At 40.6% G+C, this 20,766-nt stretch overlaps 1 protein-coding gene across 1 annotated transcript in view, besides 1 other annotated feature; it reads left to right on the top strand.

Moving 5' to 3' along the window:
* Positions 1–20,766, top strand: part of BRINP1 (BMP/retinoic acid inducible neural specific 1) — a 202,807-nt gene that overhangs the window by 88,650 nt on the left and 93,391 nt on the right. The gene's annotated exons all lie outside the window — the stretch shown is intronic.
* Positions 2,194–2,700: an enhancer, noted in NCBI's record as "NANOG hESC enhancer chr9:122040364-122040870 (GRCh37/hg19 assembly coordinates)". NCBI's record gives its function as "activates a minimal SCP1, AML or CMV promoter by ChIP-STARR-seq in naive H9 embryonic stem cells {active_cell/tissue: H9 hESC(naive)}" and the evidence as "EXISTENCE:reporter gene assay evidence [ECO:0000049][PMID:30033119]".

Below are 20,766 nucleotides of genomic sequence, written 5' to 3'. Positions count from 1 at the left end.
TTGGGGCCAGTTCTTCACACTAGATTGCTATTGAGGACAGGGAACATGTCTTTTCCTTTGTATACCGAGTGTCTCATACACAGTGACGTTCAACAAACAAAATAAAGGATGAATGAGGCGGGGACATTATTAGGTGACAAACTTGAGTAGTGAGATTCCTGGTTCAGTTAGACCTACTAAGTAATTATTGCTGCATCTCAATTGGGTTTGATTCAACAGCATTTAAAAATACTAGATATTTTGGCTGGGTGCGGTAGCTCACACCTGTAATCCCAGCACTTTGGGAGGCTGAGGCAGGCGGATCACGAGGTCAGGAGATGGAGACCATCCTGGCTAACACGGTGAAACCCCATCTCTACTAAAAATACAAAAAAAAAAAAATAGCTGGGTGTGGTGGCGGGTGCCTGTAGTCCCAGCTACTCGGGAGACTGAGGCAGGAGAATGGTATGAACCCAGGAGAGGGAGCTTGCAGTGAGCCGAGATCGCACCACTGCACTCCAGCCTGGGCGATAGAGCGAGACTCCAACTTAAAAAAAAAAGAAAAAAAAACTACTTATTTCATCCATGTTCTCACTGTCTACAACCAACTGCATCTTTTCTTTATATGTTATTGTACATCCATATATCTAACATGAATTTCCTGCACTTCTTGTGAAAGCTAATTCTGTAAACATGTATCTGTGTCCCAGAGAGTTTCTGCCAAGATCATCTACTATTTTCTTTATGCTGGACATTTTATTTTATTGCCATTTTTTTTCAAATTATAACAAAAGATGTTATGATCTTTTTGTACATATAGCATTTTTCTTCTTTTGAGGTATTTCCTTAGGATAGATTCCCAGGAGGTTATTAGGTCAAAGCATATGATCATTCTTATAAGCCTCATTAATTTTGACCCCAGTAATTCAGAAAGTACACTGATTTGGGCAGGTAGTGAGCTTTCTTTTGCTCTCTCTTTGAAAGGAAAATTGTTAAATAATAAATTGGCATGAACGCAATTTCCAGCATTCCTTTGACAATATTTCATGCAAACATTTTAAGCATGTTTTGTAGGCATCTTTTTCTTGCATACAGAATTGATATGCTAATTATGATTTATTTTCATCAGTTCATTAGTGCAGGCCTTCAGTGATCAACACTTGTTCAACTAATTTCCACCTTTTTCTACACAATTAATGTGAACGAGGCTTTGGCTACCTCTGAAGGGTTTTCCATGGGTTTCATTTGAGACATGTGTTTGAAGCACCTATTATTTTCTGGGTATTATTTTAAGTGCTGAGGATACAGAGGTAAATAAGATACAACCCTTTCTCTCAAGGAGCTCAACTCTCTTAAGGGAGACTGGGCTGTGAACACATGCATCAGGGAGATGGTGGATGAATGGACAGGATGATCTGGAGACACCTCACAGGGGAACCGTGCGTGGGCAGGTGCCCTGGCGAAATCCCCATGGTTAATAATATAGCTGAGTTGAGTTCTAAAGGAGTGGAAGTTTACCAAACTAAGAGTTTAGATAGGGACACAGTTTTCAGTTAATACATCCATTAGGTGATGTTTGTTTTCAAATATTAAATTACTCATCCTTCTAATTTATTCACACTGAGCTTTCCCCAAATAGCCTGAGTTCATGTTATTTTATTTCTCTCTTGTGCACAGAGCATTGGGAAGTACCTGAGGAGATCAGAGTTCTCAACTTGGCTCTGTACTTGTTTTACTTTGAGCCCTGGTAAATCAGTGTAGATCTCATCTCTGTACCTCAGTTTTCTTACCAATAAAATGGAAGTAAAGTATTATATCTGCTTTCTTTTTTGGGATATTTTGGATGTAAAAATCAATTGACAGAAAAGTGCTCTAAGTTGTTTTTTGTTTGTTTGTTTTGTTGTTGTTGTTGCTGTTTTTGAGATGGAGTCTAGCTCTGTTACCATGTCGGAGTGCAGTGGCGCAATCTCGGCTCACTGCAACTTCTGCCTCCTGGATTCAAGCCACTCTCCTGCCTCAGCCTCCTGAGTAGCTGAGACTACAGGCACGCACCACCACGCCCAGCTAATTTTTGTATTTTTAGTAGAGATAGGGTTTCACCATGTTGGCCAGAATGGTCTCGATCTCTTGACCTCGTGATCCAGCTGCCTTGGCCTCCCAAAGTGCTGGGATTACAGGCGCGAGCCACCGCGCCCAGCTGCTTTAAGTTGTTTTAAAAAAAGATGCAAGGTAAATGAATTTGTCTTATTTACTCACTTCTTACAGGGCATCCCTTAGTTCCTAAGGCCCCTTTATCCATCTCTTTGTTTGAATCCCCGCATTGGAGCAGAGTCACAAATAGAATCTATGGAACATGAAAATGGTTCTCTAATAGGCTCTATATGAGGCCAGAAAAACAGTGCCAAATAAAATTAGCCAACAATCAGTCAGCAAGGCGGCCCTGCCTCTGACTGTGTAGGGAATGGTTCACTGCTCAGAAAGATTAAGGCTCCAAACGCAGCCAGTGCCCTCAGGGCAGTAGGGCTGTGGGAGAGAGGCAGGGAGGCGAAGAGGGGATCCATGGGAGGGCTGGAGCAGGGGCTCCAGGAAGTCAGAGGTTCTGAAAGGGACCTGAGAGATCATCCAGTGCAAATATTGAGTTGTAAACACAGAAGAGTCCCAGAGAAGGGGAAAAACAAGAAACGAGATTTGTCTACCTCATCCAAGTGCTGGAAAGAAAAACAGTAGGGAAAAGACATAGGGTAGAGACTGATTCAGTATAGATAAGGAATAACTATATAATATTCGATATATGGAATAATCCATATAAAGAATATGATTCAGTATAGATAAAGAAAAATTCCAATGCCATAGAGAGTTGCCAGCTACTGGAAAGTTTTCTAAGCAGAGGTAGGGGGGTAACCTCTTTTTTAATATATCAAGCAAGGGGTTTGAGGAATAAGAATAGAGTGGAAGATAGGATGGACTTCCCAATATTCCTCAATTCCTTCTTCATAGATGCCATACTTACTGCCTGGAGAGATTACTAGATATGTTTACATCTCAAGGAGTCCTTTCTTTTTCTAAAATGTTATGACATATTTTGTACTAGTTCAAGAAATTAGGCACTAACTCTGATAACCAGGCACCTTTTCCCTCAGCATTCACCTGTGTCCATCTGCACTACTTAATCGGGGCCTTATAAATGGCTTTGGCATTTATTTCTAGTTCTGACATAGTAGGCTCCTCTCTTGTAATCAGTAATGTGCTGGTATATGCTTAGCAGCTGTTTCCAATATTTAATAATCATTAATGATGTTCACCCTCCCTCCCCCAAATAAAGCTCTGATAGTGTTTGCCAATTTCCAGGGGGTAAACATCCTCACCATCAAGCTACCAACTTGATGTTCCTAAATGTGGAATTAGGAAGCGAGGAATACATTCAACTTCTATGAGCCCCTAAAAGCTGACTTTGACCAACCAATGCCTGGAGTTGTATTCTCTGCGTCCTTCATGGAGATTTCAAAGCCAATGCATTGGACGAAAGAGCGAAGGAGGAGTGGATAAAAAGGATGTGGGCAGAAGGGAAAAATAAAGACAGAAAACTTCAAATATCCTTCAACAGGTGAATGGGTAAAACAACTGTGATGCCTCTACACATAGGCTACTATAAAATGAATGAACTACTGATAAATTCAACAGCTTGAGCGAATCTCAAAGGCATTATGGTAGGTGAAAGAAGCCAGACCCAAAAGGCTACACACTCTATGATTTCATTTATATGACTTTCTGAACAAGGCAAAACTATAAGGATGGACGGCAGAATAGTGGTTTCCAAGGCTGATTACTTTTGATTACAAAAGTAGATTTGGGGGATGATGGAGCTGTTCTTTACTCTGATGGTGGTTAATACTATACATTTGTCAAAACTCATGGAACTGTACACTAAAAATTTAAATCAGCTTTATTGTATGTGAATAATAATAATAATGCTAGAAGTAAAGGGGAGTAGAAAGGGAAGATAAACGAAATTAAGACAAAGAATTTAAATCTGCTTTGGAAGGAAATCATGCAGTATCTACATCATTTAAAGTGGGCAAATCGTTTGACCCAGCTATACCATCTCTCAGTATCTACCCTGGAGAAAACATGCACCAGTATAGTGGGAAGCATGGATGAAGGTACTCATTGCCAGATGATTTGTAAAGTAATAGTGAAAATATTAGAAGCAGGTTACATATCCACCGATGGGTTAATGCATAAGTAAGTTGTGGTTTATGGACAGTATAGAACCTTCTGCAGTAATTACAAATAATAAAACAACTAATTGTATTGATGTTAAAGGTTCTATAAGGAGATTTTGTTAAAAGATACAAAATGATCCATATAGTAGCATTTCACATGTGTATTAAACATAACCCACAAAAATAGTTTATATTTTCTAAGAGTACATTTATACACATATACATATGAAAAGAAAAATCAGGAAGGTGTTCTCATAATAATGGCAATTACCTATGATTTAAACTTAAAATAACCAAGGGACTGTATTCACGTATTGCTTTGATAGTTAAACATAAATTAACTGTCATTAGGAAATATGATATATACTTATGGGCCTTGTTTTGGATGTATTAAATACTTAAGAAGGTATCCAATTCAGATGACTGTGATAGATATTTCAGGAAAATGAGTCCTCAAGTAAAGATGTTTTGTCTGGCTGCCATGAGGGATAAAAGCATGAAAGAGAGGGAAGGGGGAAGAGAATGAAGAAGAAAAGATAACAGATAAGGAAATGAAGGAGACAAGGAAAAAAGGGAAAGTGAAAAGAACAGAGAAACTGGAGGAGTGAGGAAAGGATGGGAGAGGAGAGAAACGAAGGGCAGAAGTGAGTGGGTGATCAGATGGGGAGGACAGAGGGAGGATTTCGCTCTTTACTGCTATTTGGGGGTTCTCTTTTAAGGAATCCAGGGTTACCTGACACCCTTTCCCAGTTAATAGGCTTGATTTTGATATGCCTGTATCATATACCATATGAGCCATTAGTAGAGCATGCTTCTTGAAGATAATAGCTACCAGAGACACACAGCTCATGCTTTGGGATTAATGATCCAGCAGAAACTAGTGAAAACAGCACTATAGGTATTACTGGAGATTTTCTCCTTTTGAGGTTGTAGGAGAGCTTATAGTATGGATGGACTTGGTCCCAAGCATCCAATATGTTGCATTGGAGTTACCTGACAGTGTGTCCATTTCAGGATTAATCTTGGAGAGTCCATCATGTTAAGACTGTACATGAAACCTCCCCAGCTGTCTTCTTAGAACCATCAGTTGGGACAGAGTACCTATATAGTCCTATTGGACTCAGCACACATTTTATGAGCATCTACTGTGTGCTGGTCACTGTGATGGACGGTGTCAAAGGGAGAGAGATAAACAGAATAAGGTTATACCCTTAAAAGTGCAAGTTCATAGTCTTGTGGGAGTTGGGAATATATGTGTACAAGGTAGGGCAAAATAGCAAAGACTTCAGAGATGATTTGATGTTAACAAACTACAGTATCTCCTGGTTGATTACAAGGATTCCTATTCATTTGAACATGGGCTTTTATAATCCTACATATATATTAAAACAAAAATAGATACATTTTCTCTTTTAGATATGCATTATGAACTCCAACCACTGGGAATCAAGTAACTCAATGGGTCAGGTACCCAAAGTCTAGAGTCACACAGAATTGGGTTCAAATCCAAGCTCTGGTTTTACTTATGATTGACCTGTGGCAAACCACATTCCTATCTAAGCCTCGGTTTCTTAATTTATAAAAGGAGATGTGATTTAGTCTACAGGGTTATCATAAGCATTAAATAATGTTAACATACATTAAATAATGTACACACTACATATATAGTATATATATTGGATATCTCTATTGTATATATCATATATGTGTATATACACATATATCTATATCTATACCTTAATTAGAAGATCCTCCAAGCTAAGTGCTGCATTTACTCTCTGTGACTTGAAGCCATCCCTTGATGCTTTAGGATTCTGATAATGTCACTAACTTCTCTGTGCTTCAGTTTTCTAATTTTTAGAATGGGTGTGAGACTGATTCTGTGCATATTTTCTTATTTTGTCTCTGGGGCTGACCTGTGAAATAGACAGAGCTGTTAGAATCATTTCCATTCTACAAATAAGGACCCTGGTACACAGCAAGTTAGAGAGACTTTCCCAGGGTTGCCCAGCAAAAGAATGTGTGTTCCTCCAGCTCTTCTAATGGTCTCTTCCAAATCAGGGCCAGCTGGGGCTTAGTCCAATGAAATGAATTCAGATTCATTGGCAGAAGCATAAAGGCTTTCAAAGGTTCTCTGTAATCTCAACCAAATCCGTTTGTTAGTCACCCTAGAGGAATCATTTAACTCTGTTCACTCTTCATTTTGTTTTTTCTACTACAGTTTGCTTCTCCCTCATAGGTCCTCACACCCCAGGGTCCTGTTTTCCAGGGCTGGATCACTTAAGGCCAGCAAAGGGACGCTGGGTTCTCCTTCTACTCTCCTTTCATGTGATGAACTCTATATTTCTCTGAGCTAGGAAACAACTGCCATTTAGAGAGCATAGCCAGTGGGTGGGAGGAGAGGAGAACACCAAAGGTTTCCTTGGCTGGGCAACCTGGAGAATGACTCAGAATAAACAAAATAGGATCGACTCAGTGGAGTAAGGCTGCCAATTGCATTCACTGTCCACATTTAGCTTCCTAACCTGCTACAATCTGTATCTTTGTCTGGGTATCCAGAATAATCTCATTTGAGTTTGTATTTTTATAATCAGCTTCAACTTATGCCAGGTTCTGAAAATACAGAGGTAGAGGTGACCTGTCCTTGAGAAGCTCAACATCTAGTAGGAAAATCAGCCAAGAATAAACAGAATGAAGTCGTTGTAAAGAGATTTGATCTAGCTGGGTGAACGTGGACAAGGAACATAACCTCTCTGAACCTGATACTTTTGCATCTTGGCTTTACTAATACCTATCCCAACCCTTGTGGTTGAAATGGTTGAGTGAGATAATAATTAAAACCCATGGCTCAGAGTAGGTACTCAACAATTTGTGTCTGCTAATGAGTACTAATGAGATCATCATGAAGGAATGATTCAGGCTGAAGAGGCAGTGTGAATATTGGAACTCTGGAAGGCTTCCTGGAGGGAAGAAGCATTGTGCTGGGCTTTGCAGTTTGAATTAGACTAAGTGAGCTGATCCTTGCATGCTTTCTTCCTCCCTCCCTAACCCCACTCCATGCAGTTTTGAGCCAGCCTCCCTGCCTTGCTCACGTTGCTCCCACTCAAAGAATTTTTTTAATCCTTTTTCTTTACTGACTCGAATCCTCACAACCCCTGAAACCCAGCCGAGATTCTGCCCATCTGAGTGCCTCTGGCCTCATTTTGGATTCAGACTGAGAATCACCCAGGGTTCACACTCACTTGCTCTCCAATTCTTCCAAAAATTATAGTATGTACTATAAAGGACCTCAGGGATATTATTCAAACTTTTGATTGTACAGATGGAGAATCCAAGGCCCAGGGAGGTGAAACAGCTTGCCCAAATTCAAAAAACACTTTGGTGACAGAGCCAGGAATAGGATCCTGAGTTCATTCTGTTTCCTGCTTTTTTGAGTTTTGTCTCCTGATGCAGATAACTACATTTCTAGAATTCAATGCTATTGGTTTCTTATTCCTGTGCAGTGGATTATGACAGCACCCAGAACTGTGTGCAGGAAACATCAGGGCCCAGAAGCCCTGGCTGCTGGCCTGATTTCAGCACTTGTTGGAGGGGACCAGGAATGGGGCTTTTGGCTCTGCAGGAATTCTATGTGTACTTTCTCCCAGGCCCACATTCTCTGGTCTAAGAACAAGGACCTCTAAGGACAAGGACCTACACAAGACTTAGCTCAAATTACTTTCAATCAATATAGGACACAAATTCAGGCTACCCTGAGTTATCGAATGGATAACAGAGAGAGCTAGTACGGGAAAAACTTCCATGGAAAAGTGTCAGTCTCTGCGATGTGGCTGCTGGGGCCAGTTTGACCAGCAGGGAAGCGAGTCTTTCATGGTTTCTGCTGCAGCAGGAAATGGTGTGGAAATAAAATGCCTGGAAGTAGCAAGCTCAACACACACAGAGTCCATGTTCCCCTTCTCCTGACCTCACTGTCCAGGCTGTACCTAGGTGGCTGGCTTTTCTTCTCTTGGGAGCTAGCTTGTTAGGACTTTCAATTGGTGCCCCTGAGGCATTCTTCCCAGCGTTCTAGGGGATAGCAGTTTTGTTGTCTGCTCTTATGAATTCAGCTTTAGTCTCTCTTACTTTCATTTCAATATGGATGTGCAGGTCACCCACCTCAACCAGATATTTTGAAGTTCATCATCTTTAAAAAATAATTTCCTGCCGGGCGCAGTGGCTCACTCCTATAATCCCAGCGCTTTGGGAGGCCGAGGCAGGTGGATCATCTGAGGTCAGGAGTTTGAGACCAGCCTGGCCAAAATGGTGAAACCCCATCTCTACTAAAAATACAAAAATTAGCCGGGCATGGTGGCGGGCACCTGCTACTACATCCTAGCTCTCAGGAGGCTGAGGCACGAGAATTGCTTGAACCCGGGAGGCGGAGGTTGCATTGAGCCAAGATCGCGCCACTGCACTCCAGCCTGAGTGACAGGCTGTTTTTTTTTTTTTTTTTGTCTCAAAAAAACCAAAAAAGTAAATAAATAAATAATAATTTCTCCCACTTTTTTGTGAAAAGCATTTCAAAATATTTTCAAAAAATTTTTAAAAGGGGAAACAAGATTATGCCTATAATCCTACCACTTTGGGAGGCTGGGGCAGGAAGATTGCTTGAGGCTAGGAGCTTGGGACCAGCTTGAGCAACATGGCAAGACCCCTGTCTCTATGTATTAAAAAGAAAAAAAAATGGTAGTTTCAGTATCCTCTCAAATTCTCTCCAGAAATAAATTTGCACGTGTTTGTGTGTTTAAAAAAAAATGAAAAAAGACAAAGAAGTGGCAAATCAACAGTTATGTACTCTTTACCTAGATTTGCCAATCATGAATGTTTTGCCACATCTACTTTCTTCCTCCTTCTCTCTTTTTTCCTAGCTCTCCTTATTTTTTCTCTCTCTTTTTTCCAAAAAGAATGAAAAATATGTTGTAGACATCATGTTACTTCCCCTGTAATATTTTGGCATGTTTCTTCTAAGAATGAGGACATATATAAACAATAAGTAAATGAATGTATTATATAAATAATACATTCTCCTATAAATAATAAATAAATACATTTCACAATAAATACATAATCAGGCCATTAAAATCTCTAAGAAAATTAATCAATGATAGTTGCATAATATAATCTAATACCCAGTATCCTCAATATTCTCTAAAATTTTTTCATCATTGTTTTTCCTTTCCAGGGTGAAATCAAAGGCCACATATTGATTTTTTTTTTTTTGGTCCTTCTGGTCTCTTCTGCCCAGTGTCCCTCTTTCCATCATTCTCTCTCACCATTTACACTCATCGTTTCCCCCTGTACTCATCTTGAGGGTTTCTGAATTGTTCTTATACCTCATGTTTCCATTCACCTATGAGCTATTCCCTTTGCCTAAAATACTTCCTTTTCTTCTATGCTCCTGGCTTAACCATTTCATCAGTTATCAGCTCAAATCTTACTTCTTCCAGGAAGCTTTTAGTGAAATACCTAGATTAGGTCAGATACTACAACTGTGTACTCCCATTTCCCTCTTTATTTTGCAACCAAAAACCTTATCATATTGTAATATAATTTATTTCTTATAATTATTTATTTCTTATACTTACTCTATTTTCCTGCTAGACTGTAAGTACTCTGAGGCAGAAACTGTGTCCATTTTCCCCCATCCATTTCAACACCAGTCTCTAGTTCAGATTCTGGTGAATAGTGAGGCATATCATATTTATTGGATGAATAAATCTTTTTGGAAAGTGAATGGGAATGTCAATAATATTTCTTCTTTACATTTTTCTCCCCAAATCTAGATTTGTCAACTCAACTGCACACTGGACATGTCCGCTTGGATGTCTTACTTCTCAAGTATATTGTGTATAAACCTGTACTTCTGACTACCCCTTTCATTGTCAGTTAAATCTGTCTTATCTACTGCCCTCCCTATCTCAGCTAATGGAAGATTCATATTTCCAGTTGCTCAAGTCAAAACCTTTTACTCTTCCTTGATTCCCCTTGTTTCCTCACACTTCAAGTCTAATCCATTAGGAAACCCTAATTTTACTCCTTAAAAATACAAACCCAGAATCTGGCCACCTCTTCTCTCCTCTCTTGCTACTCCCCTAATTCAAGCTACTGTCCTTAATCTCCTGGATTACCAGAATAGCCTCCTGTATAATCTTACTGCTTTTAAGCGTGCCTGTCCACGTTCAACTCTCAACACGGGGTGATCTTTGTAAACATAAGTCAGGTTGTCTGACTCATTTAACTAAATGCCCTGCAAATGGCTTCCATTTATTTCATAGCAAAACCCAACATCTTTACAGTAGTCAGTGAGGTCCAGCATGGTCAGTCCCTTGTTTTCTCCCCAACATTACCCGCTATTACTCCTTGCCCCTCCCTCACCACTCTCTAGTTATCAGGTTTCCTGGTGTCTCCTCTGCTTGGAAAGCTCTTTCACCAAGTGCCAACCTAGCTCACTCCCCTACCTCCTCCAGGTGTTTACTCAAATGTCATCTTCTCCATGAGTCCAACCCTGACTATCCCACTTAACATTGCATTCCCTTCTGCCAGTACTTCCAGTCTCCCCTTCTCTGTTCCACTTTTTCTTTTTTCCATAATACGTAACACTTTTTAATTTACTTGTTTAAAATATTTATTATTTATCTCTTTCTGCTAGAAGTCTCATAAAGAAGGACCTGTGAATTTTTTTTTATTAATGTATCTCAAGTGTTTAGAATAGTGTCTAGTTCCTAATGAATATTTGCTGAAGAATGTGTGCCTGAATGAATGAATGAAATATTGAATGAATGAATGAATCATGTGAAAGCAAGTTCAAAATTTATATAAACCTCCTGGCTCCTCTGCTTTTTGGCTCTGTTACCTTGTTCAAGTCATGTCACCTGTGGAGGTTCAGTTTCTACATTTTAAAAACAGATAAATAAAAATCTCTACCACATAAGGCAGCCTTGAGGATTAAACTAAGGTATTTGAAATGTGCTTTGTAAACTAGAAGGCACTGAATAAATGTTAGTTTTAAACAGGGGTGGGGGTAGGAAGACCAAAAAGAAAAGAAACCATGGAGTAAGAGTGACCAGCAGGGGATTATATGGGCAAACTCTCACAATCCCAATGCAAGCACTGGAGGGAATAAGACACAGTAAAAATGAAGTGGAAGAAATTCAGGCTAAAAACACTTCACGTCCCTGAGGAAGGGGAGGGTGAATCATTCCACGAGCATTTACAAGGAATCTAGAAATTGCAAGTTCCTGCACTCAACGGGAGTTGAACTGGTATTGATAATTTCACAGTGTTTGAAAAGGACAAAGCCCATGTGTAAAAATAATAGTGATTTAGGGTCATGAGAAGTTCAGATGTCTGCTTTGGGAGTGCCAAGGAGGGAGGGATAATGATTATAAGGTATTACTCACCACTTATGAGCACCTCTGTGTGGCCAACACTTTACACATTATCTCTAACAGGAAGCCTGTGGAGGAAGGATCTTTAGAGCCCTCACTGTGCAGGAAACAAACCCAGAGAATTTATGTGACCACTGCAAAGTCACACAGCTGTGAGAAGCATATTTAGGACTTGAACCTTATTCTGACTTGATTTCCAGGTGTATCCTTTTTCAACTACATTTTAGTGCCTTTCATGTTTTGTGTTGAGTTGGAAGTCTTAGGGAAGTTTCCATACAAGAAGTATTTTGGTCTTGTTGGATGGGAGTTGGACAGGTGATTTCTTTTCTTATGTGCTCAACAAATATTTATTGAGCACCTACTAAGTGCTGGGCACAGTTAATAGGTTTTTGTGATGAGCCGTGCAATAAATAAGACAATGTCCTTGTCCTACTGGAGTTTGTATTGTAGTCGAATAAAGGGCCGAGGCCTGGAGAATAGGTGGAGAAAAGAAATAAGGTGTAAACAAATGAATAAGATAAATCTAGGCAGTGACACGATTGCCATAGATAAATAAAAATCAGGTAATAGGAAGATGTCTAGTTTAGCTTTGGTGGCCAAAGACTGCTTCTCTAAGCTTGTTGCCTTGAGCTTTCATGGTGCAAGGCAGCATGGTAGAGATCTTAGCGCTGTGTGTTCCCTGCAAGCTATGAAGGTATGAGAGTCAACCCATCCCTGCCTCTTTGAGGGCTGAAAAAGACCACTTTGGATAGAGATCAATTAATGGAGGATGGTAGAGGGTGAAGTTGGAGAAATAAACAGAGGCCAGTCCGTATCAGCTATGGTAGAGTTTCGATTTTATACAAAAACACTTTTATCTATCTATCTATCTATCTATCTATCTATCTATCTATCTATCTATCTATCTATTTATTGAGACAGAGTCTCACTCTGTCGCCCAGGCTGGAGTGCAGTGATGTGATCTTGGCTCACTGCAACCACCACCTTCCGGGTACAAGTGATTCTCTGGCCTCAGCCTCCTGAGTAGCTGGGATTACAGGCATGTGCCACCACGCCTAGCTAAGTTTTGTATTTTTAGTAGAGATGGGGTTTCGCCATGTTGGCTGGGCTGGTCTTAAACTCCTAACCCCAGGTGATCCACCTGTCTCGGCCTCCCAAAGTGCTGGGATTACAGATATGAGCCACTGCACCTGACCTAACTGAAACACTTTCTTTACTCAATTTCTCTCTCGTTCATCTTTGTTCACTAGGATAGCCTTCTCAGTGTCATTGCTGGATTCTTCTCTTTTCAGTCTCTAGATATTGGTGCACCCAGAGTCTCAGTCCTTCGGCCTCTTCTCTATCTATCTGTGCCTATGGTTTCATGCTCTCATCTGTTCTCCTGGTGTTATAGAATTTACCCTGACAATTCACATTTATGTTGTCAATCTAGACAAATCCTCTAAACTCCAGACCTATGTCCCCAGCTATTTAATAGCCTTATTTATTTATTTATTTATTTATTTATTTATTTATTTATTGAGATGGAGTTTCACTCTTGTTGCCCAGGGTAGAGTGCAATGGTGTGGTCTTGGCTCCCTGCAACCTCTGCCTCCTGGGTTCAAGCGATTCTCCTGCCTCAGCCTTCCAAGTAGCTGGGATTACAGGCACCCGCCACCACACCTGGCTAATTTTTGTTTTTTTTAGTAGAGATGGGGTTTCACCATGTTGGCCAGGCTGGTCTTGAACACCTGACCTCAGGTGATCCGCCCACCTCAGGCTCCCAGAGTTCTGGGATTTCAGGTGTGAGCCACCGTGCCTGGTCTTTAATAGGCTTCTTAAATGTATCATGTCAAAGTCTGGATTCTTGGTTGCTTTTTCAAATGTGTGGCTCTACCAATGTTTCCATTTTCATTGAATGGCATCACTGTTGATCCAGATATTTGAATCCCAAGCAAGTAAGTATCCATGATTCTTCTTTTTCTTTCATATTCCACATCAGCAAGTCCTATAAACTCTCCTTAGAAACATTATATTTTATGCCATAAATGTGTACAATTATTATGTGTCAATTAAAAGAAAAGAAAATGCATTCCTGGTGTATCTACTTACTGCCCTCATCCAGGCCACTCCCTGCTTTTATCTGGATCACTGCAGTGACCGCCTAGTGGCATCTCCGCTTCTGATTTTGTCCTCCCCTGCCTTCAGGTCTTCTCTACACAGCAGCCGGAGTGATCCTTCTGAAACCCAACTCAGATTCTGGCACATTATAAAAACCTCTATAGTGGCTTTTCATCTCACTTAATACAAAATCTGAAGTCCTCCTATTCAGCCTTAAAAAAGAAAGAAATTCTTTCATTTGCAACAACATGGATGGAACCGGAGAACATTATGCTAAGTGAAATAAGCCAGGCACAGAAAGACAAATATTGCATATTTCACTTACATGTGGAAGCTAGAACAATCGAATTCATAGAAGCAGAGGGTAGAATGGTGGTTACCAGAGACTGAGGGTAGGAGAAATGAGATGATGGTCAAAAGGATGCAAAGCTTCAGTTACATCTGAGACTTAAATTTTGAGATCTGTTTCACAGTGTGGTGAAGTTAATTAATGATTGAGTACTGTACATTTTAATACTGCTAAAGAAATAAATTAAAAATGTTTTCATCACAAAAAAATGTTAAATATTCGAGGTTTTGGGTATATTCATTAGCTTGATTTGAGCATTCCACATTGTATTAAATAATCGTAACGTCACTTTCTGTCCTACAATTTGTACCCTATAATTTGTCAATATATAATGATAACAGTAAAGTCTTCATCGTGGTGTACCAGGACCTCCTTCATGTGGCCTCTGCTCCCTCTCTCTACCTCTCCAAATTGGCCTTCTTAGTAGTTTTCAAACATTCTGCGTTCACTCACAGCATGGGACATTTTACAGTTGCTCCTCCCTTTGCCTGGAACAGATTGTGCCTCTAAGTCTCCCTCTGGTTGTATTTCTCCTCCTTGAGGAACATGGGACCTCCCTCCCTTGTGACTGTCTGTCCCCTGAACTTGCTCTATTTTTTCCATGAGACTTACCATGTCTGACATTTCATTATATCTGCATTGGCATGTTTATCATCTGGTTCTCTCACTAGAAGGTAAATTCAAAAAGAACAACAATTTGCCTGTCCTATTCACTGTCTTATCACTTGGCATTTAGAAGAGTACCATAAACACAGCTTAAAAACCACTGGTTGAAAAGAAGGGAACAACAGACTCTGGGACCCACTTGAAGGAGGAGAGAGGGAGCGAGGAGGTTGAGGATTGAAAAACTACCTATGGGGTACTATGCTTATTACCTGGGTGGCAAAATGAGCTGTACACCAAAACCTCGTGACACACAATTTGCCTATATGAACAAACCTGCCCATGTACGCTTGAACCTAACATAAATGTTTTAAAAAAAGGTACTGATTGAAAGAATGAATAGCAAGTCATGGGGTCAACTGAGTTTGAGAGAGACATGGTTATTCTTTCCTCGATGATTTGAGGACTGATTTTTTGTTTGTTTGTTTGTTTGTTTGTTTTGGTAATTGAGATGGAGTCTTGCTCTGTCACCCAGGCTGGAGTGCAATGGCGTGATCTCAGCTCACTGCAACCTCTGCCTCCTGGGTTCAAGTGATTCTCTCACCTTAGCCTCCTGAGTAGCTAGGTGCCCGACACCACACCCAGCTAATTTTTTTTTTTATTTTTAGTAGAGACAAGAGTTTTGCCATGTTGACCAGGCTGGTCTTGAACTTCTGATCTCAAGTGATCCCCCAGCCTTGGCCTCCCAAAGTGCCAGGATTACAGGTATGAGCCACCATGCCTGGCCTTGAGGACTGATTATATGCAAACCCTGAGCTAGGTGTTAAGAATATCCCAAACAAGCTACCACTTTTCCATTCTCGTGCAGGACACATCCTGTAGCACTGACAGAGAGAAGTAAGTGGGCAATTTTAGTTCGGGGTGATACATACTTTAAGGAAGTGCAAGGTGATATTGGTGAGTAAGATGAACCTGAGAGAGTAGGGAATGAGTTTTTCCAGTAGTGAAAACTGCATGTGGGTAAGATAACTTGGAAGTTAGAGTGTGTTTGTACATTTGGATGGAGCATAACAACAAAAGAAAAACAGGAGACAGGACAGACAGTGTCCTATTCAGTGTTTAGATATCAGGGCTGGCTGGGTGCGGTGGCTCACGCCTGTAATCCCAGCACTTGGGGAGGCCAAGGCAGGCAGATTACTAGGTCAGGAATTCAAGACCAGCCTGGCCAAGATGGTGAAATCCCGTCTCTACTAAAAATACAAAAAAAATTAGCCTGGCATGGTGGCGGGTGCCTGTAATCCCATTTACTCAGGAGGCTGAGGCAGAGAATTGTTTGAACCCGGGAGGCGGAGGTTGCAGTGAGCTGAGATGGAGCCACTGCACTCCAGCCTGGGTGATGAGCGACACTCTGTCTCAAAACAAAAAAACATCAGGGCTACATTTTCAATAGTGGCTAGTTTCTGAAAGTTCATATAAATGTAAGAAAAAGGTGAATGTGGGTGATGCTAATTGTGAATAGTTTCACAGAGCAATATAAAGTGACTGGGATGAGGACAGGGCAATGAGGAAGGAGCTGGGAATTTGAACATAAGGCATCTTGAATATAAATCGAGAGAGTTTCCTATTTGTCTCATAGACAGTGGGGTTCATTGACTGCTTCCCAAAAAGGTGGAGGAGGTGGCATGAGCCAACTCACACTTTGAGAAGATAATTCTGGCTGTCATATTTAAGAAGAATTGTAAGGTTGTCAAGGTAGAATCAGGGGGACCAGGTGGGTGGCATTTGTTCTTCTGTGTGTCTTGGCGAAGAACCTTGTTTTATTTAATCCCACTAAGACTTCTTTCCTGCAGATCTCTGGTCTTACCCGACATGCTACTGATTGGAAAGGGGAAAAAATGAACCCACTAAGGTGTTAAGGATTAATTCCAAAATTCCTCACTTCTGAGGATTTAATTGCCACCTCTGCCTACGCATGAAACAGGGTGAAGTAATAAATAGAAACAGGAAGTCACTGAAGACTTAGGCAATTTGGAAACAGAGTCCTAAGGTAACTTGCCAGATTCCAGGGGCTCTGTATTGGCAGTGAAACAATCTGATTGCGGGAAGTGCCTAAGAACATGAGTTTCTTAGTGCTGGAAAGGAGAGAAGATCCATTCATAAGCCCGTTTGTATTGCCTTCATTTATTTAAGAATTGTTGGCCGGGCGCTGTGGCTCACGCCTGTAATCCCAGCACTTTGGGAGGCCGAGGCGGGCGGATCACAAGGTCAGGAGATCGAGACCATCCTGGCTAACACGGTGAAACCCCGTCTCTACTAAAAATACAAAAAAATTAGCCAGACGTGGTAGTGGGCACCTGTAGTCCCAGCTACTTGGGAGGCTGAGGCAGGAGAATGGCGTGAACCCAGGAGGCGGAGTTTGCAGTGAGCAGAGATCGCACCACTGCACTCCAGCCTGGGCGACAAAGCGAGACTCTGTCTCAAAAAAAAAAAAAAAAAAAAAAAAGAATTGTTTACTGGGTATTTTATAAGTTCCAGGCAATGTACTTAGAGATGAGAAAAATAGATACAGTCCCTGTCCAATGGAGGTAACTGTCTAGTGGAGAGTGAGGACAATAAAATCATTGCCAGCTGGCCTGGGGGAGCCTGAGGCTGAGCTAGTTGGGAGAGTCAACTAAAGTGCCCTGTAGAAGTGACCTCCAAGCCCAGGCCCAGTACTTTGAGAAGGAGTTTATCAGGGGAGAATGGGGGAGAAGATTGTCCAAAGAAGAGGAGACCTCAGAGGCACTTCAGTCCTGAAGTTCTTGGTTTCACTCTGTAGAAGAGTCACCTGGGAGCTTGTTAAAAAGGCAGAGGCAAAGACTCTGGCCTGCTAAGTTTTGACTAATCTCTCGTTTCTGTATTTTAACATGGATTCTCACCAAATTGTGATGCGGGTGGCTGACCTCACGTCAAAATAACACAGATGGCATCTGTGTCTGATAGTTTTCAAATTGTGCCCCTGGCCTGAAGGGCAGGATGGTGAGGGGAGAGTCAGGGGTCTGCGTTCATCGCTATCCCCTGAGAAGTTCTACTTATATGTAGTTTACTTATTTTGCAAAATATTTATTGGAATGTTATTATTTGTACTTCCTCCGGCAAAATGTACATTCTTTGTCTATAGAGTTTTCTCCTGTAGTCCTAGCACCTAACATAGAGACAAAACCTTACTCCCAAAATTAGTTGAAAGAATATATTAATAAATCAAATGTTTCAAGTCTAAGTAAAAGCATGAAGGCCACTAATCCACTCCAACTGTTCATTTTACAGATGAGTAAAGTGAAACTCAAAGAGGAATCATTACTTGTCTAAGGTTGTCCAGGTTGTTATGTTAGAGTAGAGGGCTGACTTATATGCCTGTGCCCACAGTCCAGTGTTTGTTCCTCCAAGTCCAATTTCAGCTTTTTTTTTTTTTTTTTTTTTGAGTTGGAGTCTCGCTCTGTCACCCAGGCTGGAGTGCAATGGCATGATCTCGGCTCACTGCAACCTCTGCCTCCCGGGTTCAAGCAATTCTCCTGCCTCAGCCTCCTGAGTAGCTGGGATTACAGGCATCCACCACCGCGCCCGGCAATTTATTTTTATTTTATTTTTTTATTTTTAGTAGAGACAGGGCTTCACCATATTGGCCAGGCTGGTCTTGAACTCCTGACCTCATGACCCGCCCGCCTCGACCTCCCAAAGTGCTGGGATTACAGGTGTGAGCCACCGCGCCTGGCCTCAGCTTTTAAGGAGGACAAAATATTGGCAGAATCTTGCTTAAAATACAGGAAGTAAGTAAGAAATATGATGCAGTTTAAGAACAATTTATATAAATTCATAGACTTGGGTCTCATAATGGGCAATTAGCTTGCTAGAGAGATTTTTGGGTTGAAAGCAATCCTAAACCACATGTGGCATGCACATAGTGTCATAGAGATAGTTAAACCCGGAATCTTTGAGCTTAAGTTTCTTCATCTGTAAAATGAAAATAACCACAACCAGCTCCTGGGGTGCTTGTGAGTATTCATGCAAAGTGCCTGGCCCATATATAGTTGACCAACATACATTTATGCTTAAGCATATGTACCCGGAAAATCAAACATGTCCAATATTGTAAAAGAGATATTATTTATCTCTGAGTCTACTAGGGGTTTAGGCAGTAAATACATGCAGGAGGGAGGGAGAGAGAGAGAGAGAGGAAGAGAAGAAGGAGGAGGGAAAGAGAGGCGAGGAAAAGAGAAGAGAGGAGAAAGAAAGAAGAAAGAATAAACGAAGGAAGAAAGGAAAGGAAGGGAGGGAGGAAGGAAGGAAGGAAAGAAGGAAGAGAGAAAGAAAGAAAAGAAAGTAGAAAAGAGTATTATTCTTCCTTTTGGAAAATACCATGTGAGCTTGCAGAAATACCACGTTGGTTGTTGGCAGTGGCCTTTTGTAGGCTATTGCCATCAAATACCTTATGCTCAAGAGGAATGGTAGTCATGTGTGGAGACAGGAAAAAAGAGGAACTGAGGACAATTTGATGGAGAGAAACCATTTTTATGTGCTTTGGAAGAAAGAACAGAATTAAAATTCAGACTTTGGGAGTAGCTCTGGGATAAAACAGGAAACTGGCATTTCTCAGTGTGTTTTGGAGTACTGTCCAATGAACTCAGAGCTGGAAAAACCTAAACAGGCAATCCCTACCATAAGTTATCCATCATCTTGGTGCCTATATGGGACTAACATGTGTCTGTGGCCACAGCGATGACTAATTTTTGACTGAAAGATGTCCAATTCACCTAGGTATCCAGAAGACAATTGCTAATGTTCCATAAACATTTTTACTTTTCTGAAACTCATAGCATTTCCTAGTTAAGAATGGACAACAATAACGCTTTCCAACCACCCGTTGGATTCTGAATCCCTCCTATAAGCATCTCTGTCAATCAGTTATGCAAACTCTGCTTCAGTATCTTCAAAGACAGGCACCCCTCTACTTCCCAGAGCAGCTTGTTCCATTCTGATCAGTTCTGACAGTCAGCAAGGACTTGCTTTATTGAGTGTAATTTTGAGAGTATTGAGAATATTTTAAATTAAATTATTATTTAATAATTGCTGTCAATTATTCCTAGTCATTTCAGTTTTAACCCTCAGAGCTGTGTTTTCATGACATTTACAACTCATCAGATCCTACCAACTAGGAAAATTGATGATGCCTTCCTTCTTCTTATGATGCTTTGGTAATCAAATCAAATATCTCTAAGAATACTTTAGACGACCCCCACCCCATTGTTTTTCTATTATCATTGAGTATACTAAATCAATTACCTTGTTTAATCATCAAATTATAAATTCCACTTAAAACGTTAATTTTCTTAACTCAGATGTGACCTGGGCAGTTTTTATCAGCTTCTTCCAGCGTAGATTTAAATAACGAGTGTGTTATTCAGGTTTAAAAGTTCTCCAAGAAGGCTATGTGGGTAAACATCCCTGTTTTCTAATTTGCTTCAGCTGAGTAGTTTTCAAACATTTTGGGAGCAAGAGAATACTTTTGTCAAAGCAAAACAAACAAACAAATCACTGATCTATCTATCTCTGTCAGTGGTAGTACAATATATAAATCTTTGATCATCCTTGATTATTTCCTTAAAATATATTATTTGATGTCTGGGTCAATGAGATAAAACAGGATTAGCAAACTGTCTATAAAGGGTCAGACAGTAAATATTTTAGACTTTGTGGGCCTTCTGGTCTCTGTTGCAGCTGCTCAACTCTGCCACTGTAGTGCAAGAGCACCCACAGAATATACAGCACATAAATGGAGGAGTGTGATAGTTTTCCAATAAAAATTTATTTGCAAAATGGACAGTGGGACACATTTGGTCTTTGGCCTATAGTTTGGTGCCTTGTGAGTTAATCCTTAAAGATTTTAGTGCATTTTGGTTAAGTAAAGTATGGTTTTAGATCCCTGGTTCTTGATATAGAGCCAGATATTCAGTGAATATAACTGAATGAATTAGCAGAAGAGAAGGATATTTCTTAACTAGTTTCAAACAGGGACAGGGAATATTTCTTTATAGGAAAATGACTAAGG

The sequence above is a fragment of the Homo sapiens genome, chromosome 9, assembly GCF_000001405.40.
Source record: "Homo sapiens chromosome 9, GRCh38.p14 Primary Assembly".
NCBI classification, from domain to species: Eukaryota; Metazoa; Chordata; class Mammalia; order Primates; family Hominidae; genus Homo; species Homo sapiens.
Note: the sequence above shows the minus strand (reverse complement) of the source record. Positions and strands in the feature narration are given on the sequence as shown.